Here is a 24070-nt window from a genome sequence, read left to right as displayed (position 1 = left end):
TAGGAGTGCCAGAGGAGGCAGGACCTCATTGAATAGCTTAAGAACCTTACATTTTATCCCATGCGCAGGGAAGGTTTTCAGGAATTATAGACAGAAGGATCATAAGATGTAATTTGCATTCATAAATGATCTCTCTGGCTGCTGAGAGAGGCAGTGCTACTCAGAGTGGACTAAGGACCAAAGACCAGTGCTAGGTCACGAACAGTTTGTTACTAATCTATGATAGGATAAGTACAGAAACAGAGTTCAAGAATTTAGAATCATTTATGTTAACTTGGTAGGACAAATGTATGTCTGATGAACCTAATAATAATAAATACATAATAAAAAATGGTTCTGGTAGCATTTTGTCTCATTTTATTTCATTTTCTTCTAGTAATTCATTTTTATCTTATAGTCTATGAATCATAAAAATAAAATAAAATAATTAAATGTCTTTTAACAAAAATAGTTCAAGTAGTACTGGCATAGAGACAGATTTGACAGAGCACAGAAATGGTGGGTAAGAAACCATATGAAGTAAATTGCAATATTCTAGGAGAGGGAAGATGACATATTTGATTGAGAGAAAATTTTGTCTGAAAAAAGCTCCAGTGTCAATAGTACTTCTAACTATATCAAATCAAGTTTAAAAGGTGAACAGGCTCTGATATGGTTTGGCTGTGTCCCCACCCAAAATCTCATCCTGAATTGTAATTCCCATAATCCCCACGTCAAGGGAGAGACCAGGTGAAGGTAACTGAATCACGGGGGTGGTTCCCCCATGCTTTTTCGTGATAGTGAGTGAGTTCTCACAGGATCTGATGGTTTTATAAGTGTTTGGTAGTTCCTCCTGCATTTATTCTCCCTCCTGCTGCCTTGTGAAGAAGGTACCTTCCTTCCCTTTTACCTTTGGTCATTGTTGTAAGTTTCCTGAGACCTCCCCAGTCTAGGGCAGTTCTTTATAGCAGTGTGAGAATGGACTAATACAGGCTCCAAACTGGCCTAGTACTTCCAACACCCACTATATTACTGCAAGATCTTTTCTAACAAGCCTGCAGTAGAAAACAATGCTTGAACACCCTAGTTCTTCTTAAGGAACTCTCCTGTCCAGAGGGTAATCCATCAAGCCTTTTGTCTCTCTCCGTCTTTCTCTCAAGACTTTTTAGAGGACCTCTTTGAACCAATACCATCAAATGACTTCCTAACAGACATAGGGGATAGATTTCCATAGTCTATTTATACTAAACACCATGACACATTCTGCAATGAAGAGAATAAAAGAAAGGATACATAACCTCTGTGGTAGTGGACTACATTCTTGATATGAGATGATGATGAGCATACTGTTGGAAAGTGAAGACAAGGGAAAATGTTCAAGATACTTCTGGTACTTTTCTATTGCATTTATTTGCTACAAGCCCTTACTACTTCATATATGGACAACTGTGATACCCAACCATTAGCATCCCATCTCAAGTTCTTTCACTTTTCAAGTTAGGTATATACCCCAGTGAAATTTACTTTGGGATTTAATCTTTCAGTCATTGCTTTGCTTGTGTCATTCCACTGTTCAAACCTTATCACTGACTCCTTGTTGTCTATACCATAAAAAGCAAACTCCTTAGACAAACATGCAAGGCCTTCCCCTAATTTCTTCAAAGTCTGGCTTCAACGGACTTTTCATAGATTATCTACCATGAATCACTTATATAATTCTTAATAATAGGTAGTATTAAGCAATGGTTGAAGGCACAGATACAGGAGCTCTTACTGTGTGGCCTTGGCAAATTAGTTGATCTCTCTGTGCCTCAGTCTTCTCATCTGTAAAATGGGACACCATTAATACCTACAGTACCAACCTCATAGAGTGTTGTGGGGATACAAAGAATTAATACCTGTAAAAAACCTAAAGAATGCTTGACATATAATAACCAATAATTATTAGCTACAATTTTTTCAGGTTAATCGACCAAATGGCTGCCAAGCAAGACACACAAGTCCTACCTTGTCATTTGACTCATGGCATTCTTCCTAAATATGGAAAACTCTTGTTCTATCCTCTCTCACCTCCTAATCCCTCTCTGACTTTTCCTGTAAGAGTCCTTTCAAGTACCATTTCCCCTTAAAGCTTAAAGCTCTTAGGCTACCAGAATACCAAGGAAGTCTTCTTGGTAGCGATTCTATGCCAATCACTCATTCTGTGTTCCTTTTGTTGTTGTTGTTTTGTTTTGTTGTTGCTTGTTTAATTAATATACAACTATCTTCCCATCTTGATTATAAGCTCTTTAAGGTACTTCCAATCAATAACAGGTTTTTTTTTCAACCTTCCGTAACAAAAGCCTATTATCATTTAAATATGTGTTTATGTACTTCATGAATCATGTTTGTAGCAAATTTCACTGTGAAAACTACCTTTTCTATAACTAACAAATGTTTGTTAACTATTTTTTTCTGAAATATGATTTCATAGAGTAAATCTATTGTTTCCCTTAGCTTCAATGCAATAGATCATGCAAATAAAACATCAAATCACCTAATTTTACATACAAATAACAATATTTTCATTTAACATTATATATTTTGTCAGGTATTCTATACTAAATTGCATCATACTCTAAATTATGAAAAATATTTATTTCCTTATCTAAGCAGCATAGTCAATTGCTCATCTAATGTTATAAGTCAAAGATTTATTGCTCTACTTTTACAGCAATACAAAATTGTTTAAAATATTTGAAACCACATAATGAATAATGTCTATTCTTTGGGGTGTGTTTGATATGAAGATAACAATGTATCACCTCTGAGTTGCTGATTATAAAATAAGTGATACATTCTTTTTAAGAACACTGTTATCTGCTTAAGAAAGAAGAGCAAAGCTGATTAAAAGTACTGTCTATAAAGCCATGGAACTGTGATGTGGCTGTAATAATTCATAGGCTTAAGAGGATCAGGCACCAAATCCACCCAACCCATGTCAGTCACCTTTCTCTCCTTTGTGACACTTTCTCAAGACATTGGGAAGAATAATGATTTTTAGAAAAGACTGGGAAAGTTTCCATTCCTATCTCTTTGTAGAAACACTAAAATCTGCTAGGAATACAACAGCATGTACTTACGAAAGCACAACCTCCCTAAACTTGCCTTGAAAAGTTCCCAGCATCAAGCTCAGTGAGCTGTGCCTTAAGCTTCTTCAGAATGCCTCACAGCTGGGGCTACTGGTAATTATTCCAAGCAGCTCTCCCCAAGAGGACTTCAAAGAGGCTCCGGTGCCATCCCCAGTGCTCTAGGAAGCTTCCAGCTCTTTTGGTCTTTTCACAAGACCATTTACAAGGCTTGGAAACATTGAAAATATCTTCCATCTTTTTAGTTCCTCTGCAATCAATCATGTTTTTGTTCAATTTCATAATTGGTCCAGTGCCATTCTCTGCACATCTGCTTTGCAGGCAAGCATGTAAATTCTGGCAGCTTTACCAGGGTTGTTCAAGTTCAATAACTAACCTTCTGTAGGAGGGTGAAGGTGAGCACACATGTCTTCAGATCCAATTCAAGCATTTACATGAACAGAATTTGAAACATTGCCTTGTAGACTTGGATTCTTTCTTGATTTATAGGCTATAAGAAACAGTCTAGAAAGATACAATTGCTTTGATCCATTGTGGCTAGATTTTCGAGATCTTACAACTTAAGAAACAATAATCTTTCGACTTCTGATTGATCTCGTAATAAATATATGGCAAGAAGGAATCGGATGTTACAGGAGAGCCTTTGGGGACTGCCCAACTGGAAAAATTTCAGGGATGTTGAAAAACTCTTGGATCCATACCATAATGCCTAAAACCTTGACCTTGAGATTCATCCATTCATTTAGTCCATCATTCAAAGAAAATTCACAGAATGTCTGAAGTTTCCCAGGCACAATGCTGAGAGCAAAAGAGATGCTGAAGATAGTAAGTTCAATAAAATACTAAAACCACTTCTGAGAAACCCATACATTTGTTGGGGGAAAAGAACATCAAAGAATAAATATATATCATAATACAAGAAAATGCTATGAAAGTGAGAGGTATAAAGATCTATTGACAATGGAGAAGAAAAGATAGTATTGCTTAGTGGATTGCAAAGGGCTTCCAGGAGTAGAGGATATTTGAGGATACAAAGGAGTTTGTCAGCTACAGAAGGCTGTGGCACAGAATACCAGTTAGACAGAAAACAACAAATAAAAGCAGAGAGGCCTGTCCATAGGAAAAGGGAGGAGTTTCACGAAACGATAGTAGAGGGTTTTTTTTTTTAATTGCACAAAGAAAGTAAGGATTTCAAACGGCTATTTTTGCTTCATGAAAAAAAACCTGGGTTTAACCAATTGAAAATATAATGCCAATAAAGGCCCCTAAGCAAAGGAGCAAAACAATGACAAGTTTTGCTGAGGGTAGAAAACAAGTGGAGTTATAGATAGCAGAGGCTGGAAGAAAGGAAAGTTTTCTCAAGAAGCTACTGTGCAGGCCCAGGTGAAAATGATAAAAGCTTAGGTGTCATTAAGGCATCATCTCTAGTTAAAGTTCGGATACTACGATGGAACAAACGTATATGGTTCAAATGGTGCAAGTGAATGTAAGGACCTTCTTTCCTGGAAATAAATGTTGCAGGGGAATAAGAAAGACAGAAAGGAGTTGCCAGGTGCCCAGGATGATTGAAAGGAAGAAAAGAAGGGCAAAAACCAGTATGTTAAGGCCCCAATTTGGAATTTTACCTAAAAGCAACTTTGGATCACAAATTAAAATGAATCAAAATAATGTTACAGGTGTTCCGATGAGATTTTTATAGCATAGAATGATGAGGAGAATGGGAACCACACTGAGAGCTTCAGACAGGAACACCAAATCCAGCTGTGCCGTGTGCAAGCTGCACAGTAAAAAGAGGTGGCCCTGTTTCCCTTCTCAGGAGTTTAGCACTCACAAGTCAAACACAAGTTCAAGTCTTAGAAATTTAAAATGGATATAACAGTGCTTAACACACTCAATGGTATAAGGATCTTTCCAGTCTTTTTTTGTAGGCTAACATAAAACAATGTTTATTAATAATAAAGTCTCAGTGATGTGGCAAAACCACGATGACCACCTAGTTGGAAAATCTGAGGGACTGTCTAGGGTGACACTTATACTTACAGGAGAGAAACTGAGAAATGGAAAAGTTGAGAAATCTTTGAGTGACAATGTGACACAAAGTCAGGGCCAAAATCCAGTTTAACACCTGCATCCTTTCCTGAAGCTATGAGGCTGCCTCCATCCACAGATTCTACTGTTACCCTACTCGATTTAATGATTTGTAATCATGAATTAAACTAACTTCTAGGAGGACAGGGACACTGAATAAATCTACAGTGTCACTTCACTAAGGCAAGGTGGTAATGTCCATTTACACTCTTTTTAAAATGTATTTGTTATTTTTATAGATTTAGGGGTTACAAATGCAGTTTTTTTATGTGGATACATTGCATCATGGTGAAGTCTGGGCTTTTAGGTAAACATGACCTGAATAAGATGCATTGTACCCACTAAGTAATTATCAGCCCTCAATCCACTTCCCTCCTCCCACCCTTCCACATCTTCAACATCTGTTATTCCACTCTCTATGTCCATGTGTGCACATTGTTTGGCTCCCACTTTTAAATGAGAATATGTGGTATTTGACTTTCAGTGTCTGAGTGATTTCACCTAAGGTAATGGCCTCTAGTTCCATCTATGTTGCGCAAAACACACAATTTCATTCTTGTTTTTTATGGTGGCACAGTATTCTATGGTGTATATAGGCACACCATGTTTTCTTTATCCAATCATTCACTGATGGACACATAGGTTGATTCCGTGACTTTGCTATTGTGAATGGTGCTGCAATAAACATACAACTGCAGGTGTCTTTTTTATATAATGATTTTGTTCCTTTGGGTAGATACCCAGTAGTGTGATTGCTAAATCAAATGGTAGCTTTATTTTTAATCCTTTGGGAAGTCGCCATAGTGTTTTCCACAGGAGTTACACGAATTTCCATTCCAACCAATAGTGTGTAAGTGTTCTCTTTTCTCTACATTTTCACCAACATCTATTGTTTTTTGACTTTTATTAATAACCATTTTCTGACTGGTGTAAGATGGTATCTCATTGTGATTTTAATTTGCATTTCTCTATGATTAGTGATATTTAGCTGTTTGAATTAGACATAAATTTGTCAAAAAACTAACTGCCCAGCAGATTTACAGGTGACCTATAGAAACTTGTAAATGCTTCTTATGCATCAAAAAATTAGCACCATTGCTTTGTGAGATAGTAAGATATAGTGTTTCATTAGGTATATACAGAGGTAGCACCTTGCAGATCTGATTCAATAACATGCCTAAATGTTTAGCTCTGAACTGCAATTAATTTTCCTGCTTTAACAGCTGCATTCTGACTATGCAGAGTGTTAGCTAAATAAACGTGACAACTACCAAAGATTTTCATTTTAGCAGTACAGATAGTGACCACAGAGAATGCAGAGGTATAACATTACAGAAATAAAAGAAAGTGTAGTTGGTAGTCTGGCGATAGTTAAAAAGTTTCTGATTTGTGAAACTCTTTCTTCTGGTAATAAACAGCACTTAATGGAAAGTGCTACACTGACACTTCAATGTGGGAACTATTTCTATTTATTATTATTATTATTACTATACTTTAAGTTTTAGGGTACATGTGCACAATGTGCAGGTTAGTTACATATGTATACATGTGCCATGCTGGTGTGCTGCACCCATTAACTCGTCATTTAGCATTAGGTATATCTCCTAATGCTATCCCTCCCCCCTCCCCCCACCCCACAACAGTCCCCAGAGTGTGATGTTCCAATGTGGGAACTATTTCTAAAGAAAAGGAAAATGCCTTTTATGCTGCATTGCATTATGAATTTCAAGGTAAAAAATAGAATAAAAAGATTTTAATATATACACTAAAAAAAATCCTCTGCTTTGTGCTCTGAGCTATTCATCTCAAAGATTCCACAGACCTTCAGCCCCACTCTGGTCTCCAGAAGTTGAGAGAAGCACTGTGCCTCCAGCACTGTTTCAAACAACATTGGCCTGGAGCTGCAGGGGTTAGGGGAGTGCTGGGAGAAGAAAGTGTAAACAAAGAGCCATGAATGATTATCCACCCTTTCCCACTCTGGAGTTATGGTTGCATTGCCTGCTATCAGTATCATAGAAATAAGAGAGGAGACTGGGCACTATGGCTCACGCCTGTAATCCCAGCATTTCAGGAGGTCAAGGTGGACAGGTCGCTTGAGCCCAGGAGTTCAAGACCAGCCTGGGCAGCATGGTGAAACCCCATCTCTACAGAAAATTTTTAAAAAATTAGCCAGGTGAGGTGGGGTGCACCTGTAGTCCCAGCTACTTGGGAGGCTTAGGCTGGAGGATACCTTGAGTCCCAGAGGTAGAGGCTGCAGTGAGCTGTGATCATGCCACTGCATTCCAGCCTAGGTGACAGAGCAAGATCCTGTCTCCAAAAAAAAAAACCCAGAAAAAACAAGGAAAAGAAGAAGAAGAAGAAAGAAAGAAAGAATAGAGGAATCGATGCTAAAAGCAACAGTGAACTTTGTTTCTCAACTCCCTCCCACATACCACTTAGGCATCCTAACATGATGATAACTACAGCAATGGTCATGCCTTCTTCCAGAATTGTGCCCAACCTTCGATAGGATCAGGGATTTTCTGTGATTCCTTTGATTCTTGAAAGAATGAAAAACAGCATGCTTTTATTCAGCTGTATACTGTGGTGAATTCTTGGTGTATGTGAATTTCTGTGATGTTTCAAAATGCCTTCAACAATATCTTCTGCCTTTTCAGTCTCCAGTGATATTTTGACACCTAGTGTAACTCAACTATCACAACTGATTTTTTAAAATTTACAAGCATAAATAGTTTAACAAATATGGATGTGGAAATAGCTAGAAACTGGTTAACATAGTTGCTTGTGGAGACTGACTCCAAAAATTAACTTGCCTTATATTATGTGAAAAATATGACATAGGTTTACCTAATGACAGTAATTTTTTATTCTTTTATTATTCTTGAATTTTATCAATAGAATGCAAATATTAAAAAATAATACGTGTTACTAGCCTTTGTTGAACTGTGGCAAAACTATTATAACTAATATATTATTTATTAGAGTTTATAAAATCTTTTTAACCACCAACAGAACAAAACCTTTAACATGTCTACTTCCTCTTCAAGTGAATAACTTTGGAAAATTTTATTATTTTTTAAAAACAATTCATAAACTTGTATGTGTGCATCAAGCAATTAGCTACAGAAAATATTTTTGAGCATATCTTGACTATATATAAACCATAGAATCTCTTATTGTTTTTATTTTTTATTTCAGTTATATATCAGTAAATTCAAAGCATTTAGTAATGTGTCAGATTGTGCATAAGTCATACGGATAATTTTATAATATATGAACTAGTTTGTACCCTTTACACTGTTAACAAACTTACTTGTTGCACCAGGTTTAAATCAGCATGACCATTTGAAATTCAAAAATTGAGCCATTAAATTTGTTCAATGAACAAATCTTTGATCACAAAACAGAAAATAAATTATTATCTTTACTTTAAAAATCTGTTTTAAAATATGCATCTGCACATTTTAAATTGATAGATTTCTTCTCAATTTCCAATTAGCTAAAAACTGCTTAAAGTTGATTGATATCATAATGACAGAGAAACTAAAATAATGATAAGCATCAAATATTTCTAACTTTAATGATTACATAGGGATCTTTTACAACACACACCATATGCACAAGAAAAAACACACTTCTTGTTTAACTAGATATTAAAGTCACACAAATATCTATTCACTCAAAAAGCCGATAGCATCACTGAACAACTAAGCAAGAGCAATTTATTTCTAATAATCTTCTTTCTAAAATATTTCATGCTATTTAACACACAACATTCTAGAAATATGCACCTCATCTAACCCATTTCTTAACTGCAAATGTGGTCACATTGATCCATTCTACAACTATAGCATATATACATAAAATCAATGTACCCTGGTATAAAAGACACATTGAAAAATCTATATCATTGAGACAAATTTCAAGCTCTAGTCATTAACTGCTAATATATGCAAATGAAAGTGAATAATAATACCGCAGCTAGTTAAATTTCATTTGAATTTCTGTGGTTGACCTCCTTACTTTTTATCTTACAGGGTTTAAATAAGGTTAATCTGACATATATTAGTAACAGTACTATGTAGGTGTCTAGATGCACTTGATTTTCAACCATAGTTTTATAAAATTACCTCTTTAAAAAAAACAGTAGGTTTGTAACCAAATTGTTGTATGACAATATAAAAAATTCTTTTTCTTTTCTAATGTAACATTAATGAAGCATACATAATATTGTCATCTAGCTAGAATAAGTTATTTTTTAAATTGCCAATACGTATTTCTGTTGTGTCTATGTGTTTGTGTGGGTGTAACAATATATGTATTCAGTTCCATCAGTTCTTCTAATAATATCAAATGTAGGAATTTATTTTCCATTGGTAACTGGACAACTTAATATGTTTTTGAGATAATGCAGAAAGTAATAGGGACAATCTTCTGTTTAAAGTATGTTGCCCTTTAGATCATACTGTGCACATTCTAACTTTAGAAGCTACAGCATGTGAATGTTTCCACTAGACAAATTGTCAAGATGAACTGGATAGCAACAGCAAAAGTAGGTCTGCACTTTCTCGGCAACAAAACTGGAAGAATAAAAATCTTGATACAAGAGACCTCTTTAGATATAAATCAAAGTTTTTTTTTTGGCAAAAGATAACTCTTCTTTTTTTTCTAAATTTTGTAGTCGGCTAATTTATAAATGTTGTGTTCTTTTTTCCCAAAACAGCAAACTATTGGGTCTTCTATATTCTTCACTCTTACTCTATGTCGATTCATTAAAAATTCAACTTTGTTTAGTGCACAGAGGATGAATGAAAAGCTAAAACTTTATTTAAAATTTAATATAGAAAATCTGCCTCCATTCTGATAGTTTATATAAGTATTCAGAGAGATAGCACTAGTGATTATATAGCCTAGAGTGAACAGAATTTTTAAAAACAATAGTGGAGTCAAGTAAACCTTCCAAATTCCTATTTATAGCTTCACTAATCCATTGGAAATAAACTCACTGATAAAAGTAACTTAACCATTTTTGGCAACAAAAAGTAATATTATCTTAACCAGTTAATAAAATGTCAAAAGGACAGAGATGGCAGATGGCAGGGACATAAAATTTCATTAACATAACCCAATTTTACTAGCATATAGGTGCTCACTTTATCACCCCCGAATACAACAATACAGTTAAAACATACAAAGAGTTCTCACCAGGTTTTCACAACAAAGAGAAAAAAAGGTATTTCTCTTTTTCTTTCATATAAAAGATAATGACAGGAACAAGGTAGCCATATTACACCAAGAAATATTAAAAGTATTGTATAATTTATTCCAAACTCTACATATAAAATATTAATTACAAATTTAAAATATAATCATAGTTCCTCATCAGAAATGTTCCTCAACAGAGATTTATCATCCTTTTTTGAAATGTTATAATAATTAATCCTTTAATAATCAAGCAAGTGACATCATAGTTCATGGGAAACACAGGTTATTAAAACAGAGGTATTCATTAACACATTTGAAAACTTCAGGCATTTTATTCTTTCATCACAATATCTAACGAATTATATAGAATCATAATAGAGTTTTACTTCTTTTTGGAGGCAGCGTCTTGCTCTGTTGCCTAGGCTAGAGAGCAGTGGCCTACACACAGCTCACCACAGCCTTGACCTCCTGGGTTTAACATCGAGTGATCCACCCACCTCAGCCTCCTGAGTAGCTGGGACCATAGGTATGTGCCACCATGCCCAGCTAATTTTTTTGTTTTGTTTTTTGGTAGAGATGAAGTCTCACAATGTTGCCCAGTCAGGTCTCGAACTCCTAAGCTCACGTGATGCTCCTGCCTCAGCCACCAAAAGTGCTGGGATTATAGGCATGAGCCACCTCTCCCAGTGACTTTTACATTTTTTGTAAGAAAGTAAAAATGATAATGCCTTTACTGCTACTAAGAATGTATATTCTAATAAGCACCACACCAAGGTAAAGTGGTAAATTTGAAAACTTAAAATATCCCAATCTTTCTTGCATGGATCATATACATGTTTTATCATTGTCTTACCTCCATGATTTTGTCATGAATCTCCAGGCCATCTGCTCTGTCAGCAGGTCCATTTTCTAAAATTTTTGAAACGTAAATTCCTTCAGTCGATGTTCCTTCCTGATTATTCTATTTTTAAAAAATCATTAGCAGAAGAAAGATGTAAGCAAAATTTAAATATTATTAGGGACAATTTACCAAATGTAACATTACCAATCCTCTGTAAACCTGCAACTCTCTTAGCTGGGGATTTGGAACAGAATTTTAACTTACTTAACACCAACTAGTCATTAATCAAGGTGGCAGTTTTAATGAATGAGTCCAGGGTCTCTGACAAGATTATCTATTTACTTCACATTTTTGAGTTCACATAAAAAAGCTATGGGAAAGGGCATGTACAAGGTGAAATAAACTGGCTTTTAAGTATTATTTATAAAACATCTCACTTCTAAAGAGAGACAGCAAGTAAAAGGGTGATAAGGTTAAAGAAGGAAAAAAACATATATCTGGTTCCCACTGTATAACTGGTTTGAGATGTGGTAGAGTTTAGAAATGTAATTTAGCTTTTTGATGTGCCAGATTTAGAAACATAGCTCTAGTTGTGTCTATTCACAAGAGACACTGGTAGCTTACTCAAGTGTAAAATCCCAAAAGATCACATCTAAACTGCAAGGGAACCTATGCAAAAGGGAACCCATGCAAACTCATCGTTACATATTTCCAGGTGCAGTCTGACTCATGATTAGTTAAACCTCAAACATAGCCAATATGGTAAAAATAGGACATTTTAGCCAGTCACAAGAAGTCAAAGCTTATTTAGGGGAAAATATCCAACATCCTATAATAATACATTATATAATTTTAAATGTCATTTGACTTCATGACAGGTTAAATAAAATTATTTCTCTTTAGCTGTCCTTATCATGAATTTTAAGAGACTTTTTAAAAAGGCCCGATGTCATCTAAATGTCAAATACCAAAATAGAATCTATAAAAATATTCCTTAGGGAAAATGATAACGAAAATGCTATGATGAAAAGGCTTTCATCTTAATAAATGAGGACTGTTTTAAAAAGAGAAGCACAGCAGTCATTAGTTGCTAAGTTTTCAAAATACTAAAAACAAGGAAGAAATATGTCACTGCCATCCTTACCTAAACAGAGCATATGGCCAACAACACTAAGACAGTTTCCTTGTACAACATCTGCAATGCAGGATGCAAAAATTTCATGGCAGTTTATTGAGAAAAATTAAAGAACATCATTTTTTAAAACTTAACCACCTTTTTCCAGTTACGGTGAAAATTAAGTTGACACAGGAATTCAAAGATATAAAAGAACTTTGCAACTACAGTATATTCTATAAGTTTAAAATATGCATTTTGAAAACAATTGACATCAACATGAAGAATATTATTCATGCAATCAAACAAAGAACTCGGTTTGGGGAGCCAAAAATATTTCTAATCAACTGTTTTTCTTTAACATGGTACTTCCTATTGAAATCAATCATCCCTTGTTTCAACTGTTCATTCATTCATTCAATATAATTTTCTTCCTAGTCTGTATTAGCATCTTCAAACTGAGTAATTGCACTTAATAAATAGGTTTAAGCAGGCAATACAATTGCCTAATATTATCAAATAGAAATTGCCTACACATGGTATTGTGAAATAGGTTTATTCAAGAAATTTGCCAAAAGGACAATAAAATTTAGATAAAATGTGAAATGTACTTTCCTTTTCTTCTTTTAAAGTAGCAAAGAGAACCAAGTTTGCTAGCTGTTGTTTTTTGTTTTTCTCAAAAATAAAGGCCAGGTGCAGTGGCTCAAGCCTGTAATCCCAGCACTTTGGGAGGTGAGGGAGGTGGATCACTTGAGATTAGGAGTTCGAGACCAGCTTTGCCAACATTTTGTATTTTCTCTGCTACAAATACAAAAATTAGCTGGGCGTGGTGGCACACGCCTATAATCCCAGCTACTTGGGTGGTTGAGGCAGGAGAATCAATTGAACCAGAGGCAGTGGTTGCATTGAGCTGAGATCACGCTACTGCACTCCAGCCTGGGCTGCAGAGTGATACTCCAACTCAAAAAGAAAATAATTTTTAAAAATTAAAAAATAATAAAATCAGAGCCAGGCATGGTGGCTCACACCTGTAATCCTAGCACTTTGGGAGACCGTGAGGTGGATCACTTGGGGTGAGGAGTTCAAAACGAGCCTGGCCAACATGTGAAACCCTGTCTCTACTAAAAATACAAAAAATTAGCCGGGTGTGGTGGCAGGAGCCTGTAATCCCAGCTATTTGGGAGGCTGAGGCAGGAGAATTGCTTGAACCCAGGAGGAAGAGGTTGCAGTGAGCTGAGATCGTGCCACTGCACTCTAGCCTGGGCAACAGAGCAAGACTCTGTCTCAAACAAACAAACAAAATAAATAAATAAATAAATAAATAAATAAATAAATAAATAAAATCTGGGTATGTACTGGAATATTTGCATTAAGAAATCTGATATTTGATCACAAGTATAATTTTAAAGATTAAACCACTTGTTTTTCTTACTCAAAATCCACAAACAAAAGCTAAGTCCTCTATTATTTTATAAGCAATGAGTAATGCTTATTAATGCTTATTTTATAAGTAACGAGTAATGCATTAACAAGGTGTTTTACCTGATTTGGTCGACCTCCTATAATATTGAATCCCAAAGTGTCATTTTCTCTTTCTAACACAATAGTGAATGGCTTATGCTCTCCATCCTAGAAAAAAATGTATAAAATGACTTAACCAGGTAAAAATATAAAAGAAAAATAAATCCTACAATAAGTTTTTATGTACTGTAAGTTAACTGACATGTGAAAAGAGGAAAACTTTAAAATTAAGGATGGTTGAATGTGGCAGAAGGTTGACATTTTCCTATACTTACTTTGCAAGTATGTATTTGAAAAAGAACAACTGTGCATGTGAGGGGAAAAAGCCCTATTTTCAAAAATTACTAAATGGCTTTGCATTTTGAGACAGGAAGCTCTTTTATCCTAATGCAGTATCTAAATCTGATTTCACTGCAATTGAAAACAGATTTCTGGTTAAACCTTGGAGGTATCTTTATTTTTCCCTCCATTACAGAAAAGTAAAATATAAATTATCAATAGTGTAAAATTTTTATTTTGTAAAGTCTTAAGGAATTTAAGAAACACTGGAACTATTTATAAATTATAGTCATAACATTCATGTTGCTGTTGTAATGCAGGATCTGTTAGGCTACTGTAGTCCTAATTTTAAATAATATTCCTATTTGGTTTTGCATAATTCCTGCAGAATAAAAAAATAAGGGTTTGTGCTAGGTAAAGTAGTATGTATTTTTTCCTGCTGGCCAAATAATAGTAAAACAAATATGAATTATAGCTACAATGTTTATTAGTAAAGACTAACTTACACATAGGATGAATTAGTGCTGGACTAGGTGGGTTTATTCATGGTTGTAGATGTTATTAACCTTTACTTGGAAACTATTTCTGAATGATAACATTCAGAACATATGCATCATCATCACTGCTATCAGCATCAAGATATTTTCCCAGGAGCTTTTCCCAGGCAATGCGCAGAGCAGCCCCTACTGGTAGTAGAAAAACACTTCTGAGGAACACATAGAAGGTTTTGGCTAGTCTGCAAATCATGGGCAGTTTTTCTCACTTCTCAGAATCATAGCTTGACTTGTTGCATGGACTTTTCTGTAATATTATTCTAGCTGTTCCTCCTTTCCTTCAACCATTGGTTTCCTACGACCTTGAAACCTGGACTGGTAATACAAAGCTTCTATCTGTGCTTTTCCCCGGGTCCTCCCGTTTTGTAAATTTACCTGTATATATGCGTATATGTATATGCATATATGAACTAGAGAAATACTCCTTGAAACCGGTCGTTTAATACACAACGTGCTTCCATTCATCAAGGTAGAAACATTTTAGTCCCTCTCACTTCAATTTTCTCTTTTACGTTCAAGACGGGCGCTTCTAAACTCAGTGCCTGAGTTAGAGGCAGTGTGGAGCAGCCAGTCCCAAATGGGAATCTTTCTGGGTTGCTCCTCCCCGGGAGTGCTGAAGAATGAAAACAGCTCCTTGAATGGTGCGCAAATTCTGCTAAATCCCTGCTCACCATGGCAGCGACCAACAATGTCAGACACTGTGCAGAAGTCCTCCAGGAGAGAAGTAACAGCTTTATAAACAAGCCTCTTCACACGGGATGCTGCAAAGAGGCTTGTTTATTCGGTATGAAAGCCGGCGGGAGGACCAGGAGCGCAGTTCGGGGCCAGCAGCTTAGACAAAGAAGGGAAACAACCGCTGCCTGGGGGCTCGCAGGGCCGGTCTGACCACAGATGGAGGTTCTCGGACTGGACTTCCCAGGTCGCACACACACAATCTCAATCTCTCTCTCTCTCTCCACCAATAATGAGATCCCGAGGCAAGGAAGGCTTATTTAGGGAAAGTCAGAGTGATGAAATGAACTCTGCAAGTCTAAGAAACCCCATCTCTCAACTCCTGAGGCTGTCCTGGCCCCAACGTGCCTCACAGTCCCCAACTTAATAGAAGGCAGTTGATTCAGGCAGTGGCAGCGCAAGTGTCATCAACGCTGACACCAGTCCCAGGTGTGCGTGCGCGGCTGCCAGGGCCGCGGGGATGCTGGTGGCCGCGGGAGAGGAAAGGCTGGGCCGGGAAAGTCTTCGCTTTCTGTCTTTCCTTCTCGGATTTGCTTCAGGCACGGGACAAGTGCTCAAAAAATAGGCAGAGACGGTGGGCAGGAGGGTGAAAGATGGAAAACGAGAGTCTGGATGGAAAATGAGTTTTCACAATTCCTACTTTCCCGGGGGAAAGTTAGAATCGAATCTGTTTAACTCTTTCCAATCGTAATATAATCAGAAAAGGGACAATCCTTAACTTCGACGCCAATCCATTCGTAAGATAATGACAGGAAAGTATGATCAGGGTGTGGATGTTTCCTGCTGCATAGTGAGGAAGGATGCCCAATTCCAAAGGAATCCTGAAGCGTCAGAAAGAACCGCTCCTTTTCCCACCCCAATCGACCATGCCCGCGGTGCCCACCCCCCTTTGCTTACCCTGCGGTGGCCGCCACCGAGGTCGCCGACGAAGTTGCGGACGTGAGCCATGTATTGGGTGAACTTCTCCTGGTACCTGCGCGCCGTGAGCTGCACCTCGCCCTGCAGCGCCCAGAGCTGCGCCAGCAGCGCCTTCTCGCGCCGCCTCCAGGCGAGGACCCGAGGCCCGGGTCCCCGCCCGCGGCCCCAGCGGCCGCCCGGCGGCCCCCCGCGCGCGCCCCCGCCCCGGCCAGCCCTGGGTGTCGGACCGCAGCCCCCCCGCGCGGGCACCTCACCACCGCCCAGCCCCGAAGCGCAGCCCCCGCGGCTGCGGAGCCGGCGGGCAGGGCCGAAGTCGCAGTGCTCGACGTGCGCCTCCAGCTCGTGCAGCCTGACCGAGTGGCCGCAGCCGCGGGCGCGGTAGTCGCACTGGACTCGCAGCTTCTGGATGAGGCTGCGCAGCGGCAGCACCCGGTACAGCTCGCCGGGCGCCAAGGGCTGGCACTGCAGCGGGCACCGGCGCCTCCGCACCGCCCAGGGCAACAGGCAGCTGGCGCAGAAGACGTGCCCGCACGGCGTGCACAGGGGCTCTTCAAGCACCTGGCCGCACAGTTTGCACTCCAGAGCCGGGTCCACGGCTTCTGCGAAGCGCTCCAGGGCAAAGCCCATGTTAGGGATGGGGAAGAAAGGGGGAGCGAAAGCAGAGTCCGTCTTCTCCGAGCCCCCCTGCCTTCCCCGGGCCACCCCCGGGGCAGCCGTCTCGCGGCGGCGGCAGTGGAGGGAGGTGGCGGGTGGGAGGTGTGATCTCACTGTTTGTTTGGCTTGAAGTTTTCAGGCTCCTGCTAGGTCCCCTGATTTCGCCCGTATTGACGCTAATAGAAGTAACCTCCAGAGACCCCCGCCTCCTTCGTTGCCCTGCGATTTATGTTCTTTCAAATTTTGGCCGCCCAGCTTACAATGGTCCTTGGGAACACTGTGTTCTCCTTCGCCTGAACAGTGAACTTCAAGCATCGAGGCGCCTCGCCCTGGGCAGGGCTGCTGATGGGTAAAGCGCTAATGTTGAGAAACAACTTTTAAATTCACCACAATGTAAGCTTCGGGAGAGCAGAATCTTTTTGTCTGTCTGGTTTTCCGCTGAATGCCCATGGCCCGCCCGGCGTCGAGTCTATCTCCAATATGTTTGAAATCGAAGCACTTTTGTTCTTTCACATCAAAACTACAAAATCAGAAGTTAGGAAACTGTGACCTTAGGAAATCACTATAAGGAAAATAACACTAGGAAATCCACAGGGCCAGGCTTCTCAAACCGTGATCCAGAAATCAGGTGAGTTAGAATGGCGCGATCCTTGACCTAGCAGCAAAGATGGGGAAAAAGTCAAGGGCCCGCCTCAGGACACTGCCTTCTTAGGGAGCCCATGAACAGCCATGCAAGGCCTCCTCCCGAGTGAGGAAGCTGGGATTCTGAGTCTGACTCCAGGTTCAGTTGCCACAGCATCCATCTTCTACTTCCACGGGCGTTTTACTACTGGGGACGGGAATGTGATCATTTGGGAACCTGGAAGGGAAAATTAAAGGGAAGGATGATGAAAGAAAGCAGTGAAATAACATATAAATAAAATCTTAGTGGCTGCTTCCTTCTACTTACCCTGAATGAACCCTTTGGATCCAAATTGCCTCCCCTCCTAGTTTGACTCCTCAAATTGTGTAGCATGACAAGCCGTCCTGAAAACACGCAGTAGGGCGTCATTCCAAACCCTTCTTACTCCACTTCCTTTACCATCTTCTGAACCTTAGGAATGCAGAGATCCTGTCACCTGGCTGCATATCACTTACTGCCATTATCCTGAAGCTGCCACCAGATGCTTGGGTGGGTTTTATAAATTAATCATTGATGATTCCTTGCTGCCAGTTGAGCCTTGTTCCTGGAAAGCTTGTAATTCTCTATGACACCAAATGGCATCAGTTGGAATTGATGAGAACAGCTCCAGACTTTGTCTTTTAAATCCTTGGAGCTAACTGAAGAATTAGCAAAGACTAATAATAGAGGCTAATAACCTTCTGAGCCTTCTTGCTGTTTGAAAGATGAGATTTTGTTAGTTGTTCAATAACCAGTGATGATTGGTGTGCTAGATGTTTGATATGCTTTTAAACTCTTTTTCAAAATAAGATGCTATATTTCTCATTTAATATATATAGATTCATATGTGATAAAGTAACATTTGCCCCTATGTTCCAAATTTCCCCCCTCTTTCGACCTGTCTTTCTACAAATAAATAAGCAAACAATGAATTACTGATTAAATAAGAAATCATTTAATATTAACAGCATGAAAATATTTTTGTGAATTGCATAAACTGGAAATACATGTTCTAGAATTTATTAAAATACTTCTGGGCAGGAGAAATCTATTCCTTTTTTTAGCTATAGAAAAAGTTGTGACTTACAGCTATAAACATTTATAATTATAACCATGCATATACAGTTATAGCTATAGCTTGACATTTATTGGTTTTACAGTAAACACAATGACACTGACAGCATTTTTAAAAAGAGAGAGAAGAGATGGAATCCAAAAATATTATTTTGAGACATGAGACTGTTAGGACCATGAGACTTCAGTTACTTGGAAAAAAAAAAAGTTCATATGATATCCTTGGTATACCCATGCAATTCCTATAGCAAAAGTAAGGAGCATGAGCAAATTATGTTATGACTAATTCCAGGATGCATAACATTTTTATTATTAAAGTAAAGCAGATGTCAAAAACGTTGTCCACAGAGAATAGGAAGTTCCAAAATGAGGGCATGTAAAGTGAAACTGAGTAATGAAATAGGCCAAACAGAACAGGAAAATCTTTTACGTAATAAAATAAAAGCCTAAGCATTTCCAAAAGAGCTAAGTATAAAGAAAAAACATGACAAGAATTGAACTCTAAGAGAATGGACACACCCAAGTGAACCTCATAAACTTTTGCCATCTGGAAACATTGTGGCATAAGTCTGTGACATCAGTTGAGTCAGATAGTCTCGTTTCACTTCCCAGACTGTAAAATATTTTTCTACATATTAGCAAAATTGTAATATCAGTGAAAAGCTTGAGTGAGCTAGGAATATGGAGCCTAATTAAATGGAAGTAATTAGCTTGGGTAAACAAAGAAAGCACTTTAAATGAGTTTAATATATGCACAAATATTTCAGCAAAACAGACCCAGTAATATTTAGATGCTTTTTGGCAAATTAGACAAATTAACACCTTGCATCTTTAGCTTGGGCATACTCTTATGTTTTCACTGATCATAATTGTCTATCATCTAAACATCCCTGGATAGTGAAAATTGCAGGCTGAATACTAACACTTGGGGAAGAGCTGAAAGGAAACCCACTGTCTTCTTGTTGGGCAAGGCCAACTTCTAGCTGTGTTGTGCGTTGTAGCCAAAACCAAGCCTTTTACATTTCTCATAACCTTTTGTTCAGCCTGGAGCTGAGATTGTGCTTTGCCAGCCAAGAAACAAAGGAAAGACTATGAATTCACTTAGCTTATTTCCAAGCCAAGAATCATGGCTTGATTCAAGTTATCTTTAAGCAGCAGTTTGGGAGGCCGAGGCAGGTGGATCACTTGAGGCTGAGACTTCGAAACCAGCCTGGCCAACTTGGTGAAACCCCATCTCTACTAAAAATTTATTAAAAATAATTAGCCAGGCATGGTGGCAGGTGCCTGTAATCCCAGCTACTCAGGAGGCTGAGGCAGGAGAATCGCTTGAACCTGGGAGGCGGAGGTTGCAGTGAGCCGAGATCACATCATTGCACTCCAGCCTGGGCAACAAGAGTGAAACTCCACCTCAAGGAAAAAATAAATAAATAAAATAAAATCTTTAAGCAATCAGTAGTTGGTTGAGTATTTTCAGCTTAGTAACTAGTTTTTGCTTTCATCTGCTATCAGCAGTCATATATTCATGAAAAGAGATTAAAACATTAAGTTGCTAAATTATTTGGGCCAATTCCTAGTGCAGTAATGAAACTGGGATGTGCCTTGGGTGTTTCCAGTGAGAAGAGGCAGGGTTCCATCCCAGCTCTGAGTCATGCCTACTTCCAAGAATGAATCTAGGAGTATTGGTTGTTGAGTCAAATGCTAAAAGTCCCAAAATAAAATACTGTATTCTAAGACTCAAAAATGATGAATGGAGAGGTAAAATGTGAAAGAGAAAGATTTTTTTCACCTCATGCACAGATAATGCTTTGTCAAAACCAACTCATTTGTGACTCTTTTTCATGTTTTATTTATTTAATTAAGGGCCATGAAGTTGGAAAGGTTGGGGGAATTTTTCAAAGAATAGGACCTTAAACATTTATTTTATATGTGTTCATATAGCATAAGTTAGTACTTTATATATAACAATAGTTTTTCAATTCTCTATTATATAAACTTTCTCATAAAGAAAATTTCATCATCTATGTTTTTCTTTTCTCAATTCCCTGGTCATTTATCATAAATTAGTACTATTTCTATAATTATCCCAAGTGCTCTAAATGTAATCTGTAACTATACTAAATTACTCTGGTAGCTGAGGCAAAAGTACTTAGCCACTTTAGGTCAAAATATTTCCTGTGGAATACATTCATTTGTGTTGAAGTTAATGGACTTTGTTCTTATCTTGATAATTTTTCCATCATAATGTGGGATCAGATTTGCACCTAGTAGCATAAATGACTATGTTTGTAATGCATGAGATAATAACGAGGTCACTTTGACAGTACAGAAAAATTCCAAACTTGATAAGAACAATAAAAGATACTTTGAAGTTGAGTTAGTTGAAAGTTTATTAAAAATGAGGCAGATTTTTTTTATTTTACAAAAGTAGGCTGATAATATATTATGTTAGAGAAGTGATACATTTTGGATATGTTTCACTCCAAATTATACATAATCAGTTAAATCCTGAGAACACAGAGCAGTATCAATTCTTATAATTCCTGTCTGTTGACACATAATCCATTAGGAGTTATTTGCTATTATCTTGCTTTCCTGCTGTCTTTGGCAAAATGTAGTTGGAAGGGGTATTATGACAGTACAGAATGCCATTTTTAAGGGGAATAAAGTAATATGAATAAAACAATTATGTACACCAAAATTGAGTAAATAATTTACAATAATTGTGCAGTCTCTGCAGGAATGAATTATCAGACACAGCAGAATGAGGAATTTGAAGAAAATCAAATTAAAGTGAGGTATTAAATTAAAAATTGTGGCAACTTAAAATTAGATTACAGACTGATTCTTCCAAAGTCACCCAGACATTAGGAAGGGTACTATTATTCTTTTTAAGAAGGGACTATTGTGAGAGATGGTTTATAGAGAAAAATAGATTAAATTCTGCATTTAGTTAACTTTAATTTTGTGTTATATCTTGTGGGTCATAGTCACTGACAAAGAGAGATGGTATAAAAAACAACCACAAGCTAATAGATAATAACTCTTACTATGTGACAGCCACAGCACTACATTCCCTACATACACAATCTCATTCAAATCTTCCAATGACGATTTTGAGTGGGTACTTTTATTGTTCCCATAACTTGACCAAGTTCACACAAATCAAAAGTGGCAGATCCTAGGCTTAAACTAAGATCAGCCTCACTAAAGAACTCAGACTCTTAAACGCTATATTGTATTGGCTTGTTTTTCTTACACTTGCCATGGGGTTATTTTAGAATAAAATATGCTATCGAATGAAATATGTGAATGGACTCTGTAATTGCATTCATTTGATTCCATCGTTTAAAAGCTCTCTTTTTGTTTTGCTTCCTCTGATGAGGGAAGTTCCAAGGTCATGTTTATTAGAGGCCTTTGAATAGTTTATGTAAATGAGAATATCGTTTAACTGTTCTATGCAATACCAATAACCAATATGGCTATTTTAGACCATTTTGTTCCACATAACTGGTCTTAAATAGCTGAAAGTTTTCTATGTAATAAACCAATTGCGTATGTTCTTTAAGTTTTGTCTTAATAAATCAATCACTATATATTTCGGTCAAACTCTTACTTTGTGCTTCGTTCAATAAAAATTTTCTATAGTAATATTTTTCTGGATGTTTCTGCAAAATTACAGCAATTTTCACAGAATTTTGAGATGTGAGCTCATTAAGTCAGCTTCTTGCTTAGTGGAAGAAAAGAAATTATTTTGTCAATTGTCATTTTTTACTTTTTATTACAGTGATGTGGAAACCACAATCTAAAACCAATGTAACTAAGGTTTGAAGACAAAACCAGGAAAAATATCACTGATCTCATTTACCATCAGTATTTCTTTGGGCTTCTGAAGCCACTTGTTTGCTCGTTTATCCCAAACTCAAAGGAAATCTAGACATAATTAATATTATATATTAATAATTTATTACATGAAAATATAATTTTTTAAAATAATGGATACTGGAAATTCCACATGGAAACTCTGTTGACTAGAACGATGTCTAAGAAACAAAGAGATGCTTTTGCCATGACTTGTTCTGCCATGCCATAGATTTGACATAAATTATTTAATTTCAGTATAATCTCATCTATAAAATGAAATCATTGACACCTGTATCATCCTACCTCCCGGAAATCTTGAAAGAATAAATAAACTGTGGTCTGAGGGACAGCTTGTTATAATTTCTGTTCTTTTACATTTGCTGAGGAAAGCTTTACTTCCAACTATGAGGTCAACTTTGGAATAGGTGTGGTGTGGTGCTGAAAAGAATGTATATTCTGTTGATTTGGGGTGGAGAGTTCTGTAGATGTCTATTAGGTCCGCTTGGTGCAGAGCTGAGTTCAGTTCCTGGATATCCTTGCTAACCTTCTGTCTCATTGATCAGGATCAAGAAACTCACTCAAAACTGCTCAACTACATGGAAACTGAACAACCTGCTCCTGAATGACTATGGGGTACATAACGAAATGAAGGTAGAAATAAAGATGTTCTTTGAAACCAACGAGAACAAAGACACAACATACCAGAATCTCTGGGACACATTCAAAGCATGTGTAGAGGGAAATTTATAGCACTAAATGCCCACAAGAGAAAGCAGGAAAGATCTAAAATTGACACCCTAACATCACAATTAAAAGAACTAGAGAAGCAAGAGCAAACACATTCAAAAGCTACCAGAAGGCAAGAAATAACTAAAATCAGAGCAGAACTGAAGGAAATAGAGATACAAAAACCCTTCAAAAAATCAATGAATCCAGGAGCTGGTTTTTTGAAAAGATCAACAAAATTCATAGACCACTAGCAAGACTAATAAAGAAGAAAACAATGAAGAATCAAATAGACTCAAAAAAAAAAAATGAAAAAAGGGATATCACCACCAATCCCACAGAAATACAAGCTACCATCAGAGAATACCATAAACACCTCTATGCAAATAAACTAGAAAATCTAGAAGAAATGGATAAATTCCTCGACACATACACCCTCCAAAGACTAACCAGGAAGAAGTTGAATCTCTGAATAGACCAGTAACAGGCTCTGAAATTAAGGCAATAATTAATAGCTTACCAACCAAAAAAAGTCCAGGACCAGATGGATTCACAGCCGAATTCTACCAGAGGTACAAGGAGGAGCTGGTACCATTCCTTCTGAAACTATTCCAATCAATAGAAAAAGAGGGAATCCTCCCTAATTCATTTTATGAGGCCAGCATCATCCTGATACCAAAGCCGGGCAGAGACACAAACAAAAAAGAGAATTTTAGACCAATATCCCTGATGAAC

General features: G+C 37.5%; 1 protein-coding gene and 1 long non-coding RNA gene across 2 annotated transcripts in view; one reads left to right on the top strand and one right to left on the bottom strand.

Annotated features, from left to right (window-relative positions):
- Positions 1–17122, bottom strand: part of PDZRN4 (PDZ domain containing ring finger 4) — a 386426-nt gene extending 369304 nt beyond the window's left edge. The window contains exons 1-3 of the mRNA NM_001164595.2: positions 16339–17122; positions 13898–13984; positions 11254–11361 (exon numbers count right to left, since the gene is read on the bottom strand). Coding sequence (NP_001158067.1) covers positions 11254–11361; positions 13898–13984; positions 16339–16986 — 843 coding nt within the window. The 5' untranslated portion in view covers positions 16987–17122. The remainder of the gene's footprint in view (positions 1–11253; positions 11362–13897; positions 13985–16338) is intronic.
- Positions 17123–17209: 87 nt separating this feature from the next.
- Positions 17210–22412, top strand: LOC124903069 (uncharacterized). The gene is made up of 2 exons (XR_007063563.1): positions 17210–17641; positions 18112–22412. It is a non-coding gene; the product is annotated as an uncharacterized LOC124903069 (long non-coding RNA).
- The last annotated feature ends 1658 nt before the right edge of the window (positions 22413–24070 follow it).

Source organism: Homo sapiens, chromosome 12, assembly GCF_000001405.40.
Source record: "Homo sapiens chromosome 12, GRCh38.p14 Primary Assembly".
Lineage (NCBI taxonomy): Eukaryota > Metazoa > Chordata > Mammalia > Primates > Hominidae > Homo > Homo sapiens.
This window is presented reverse-complemented; position numbering and strand designations above follow the sequence as displayed.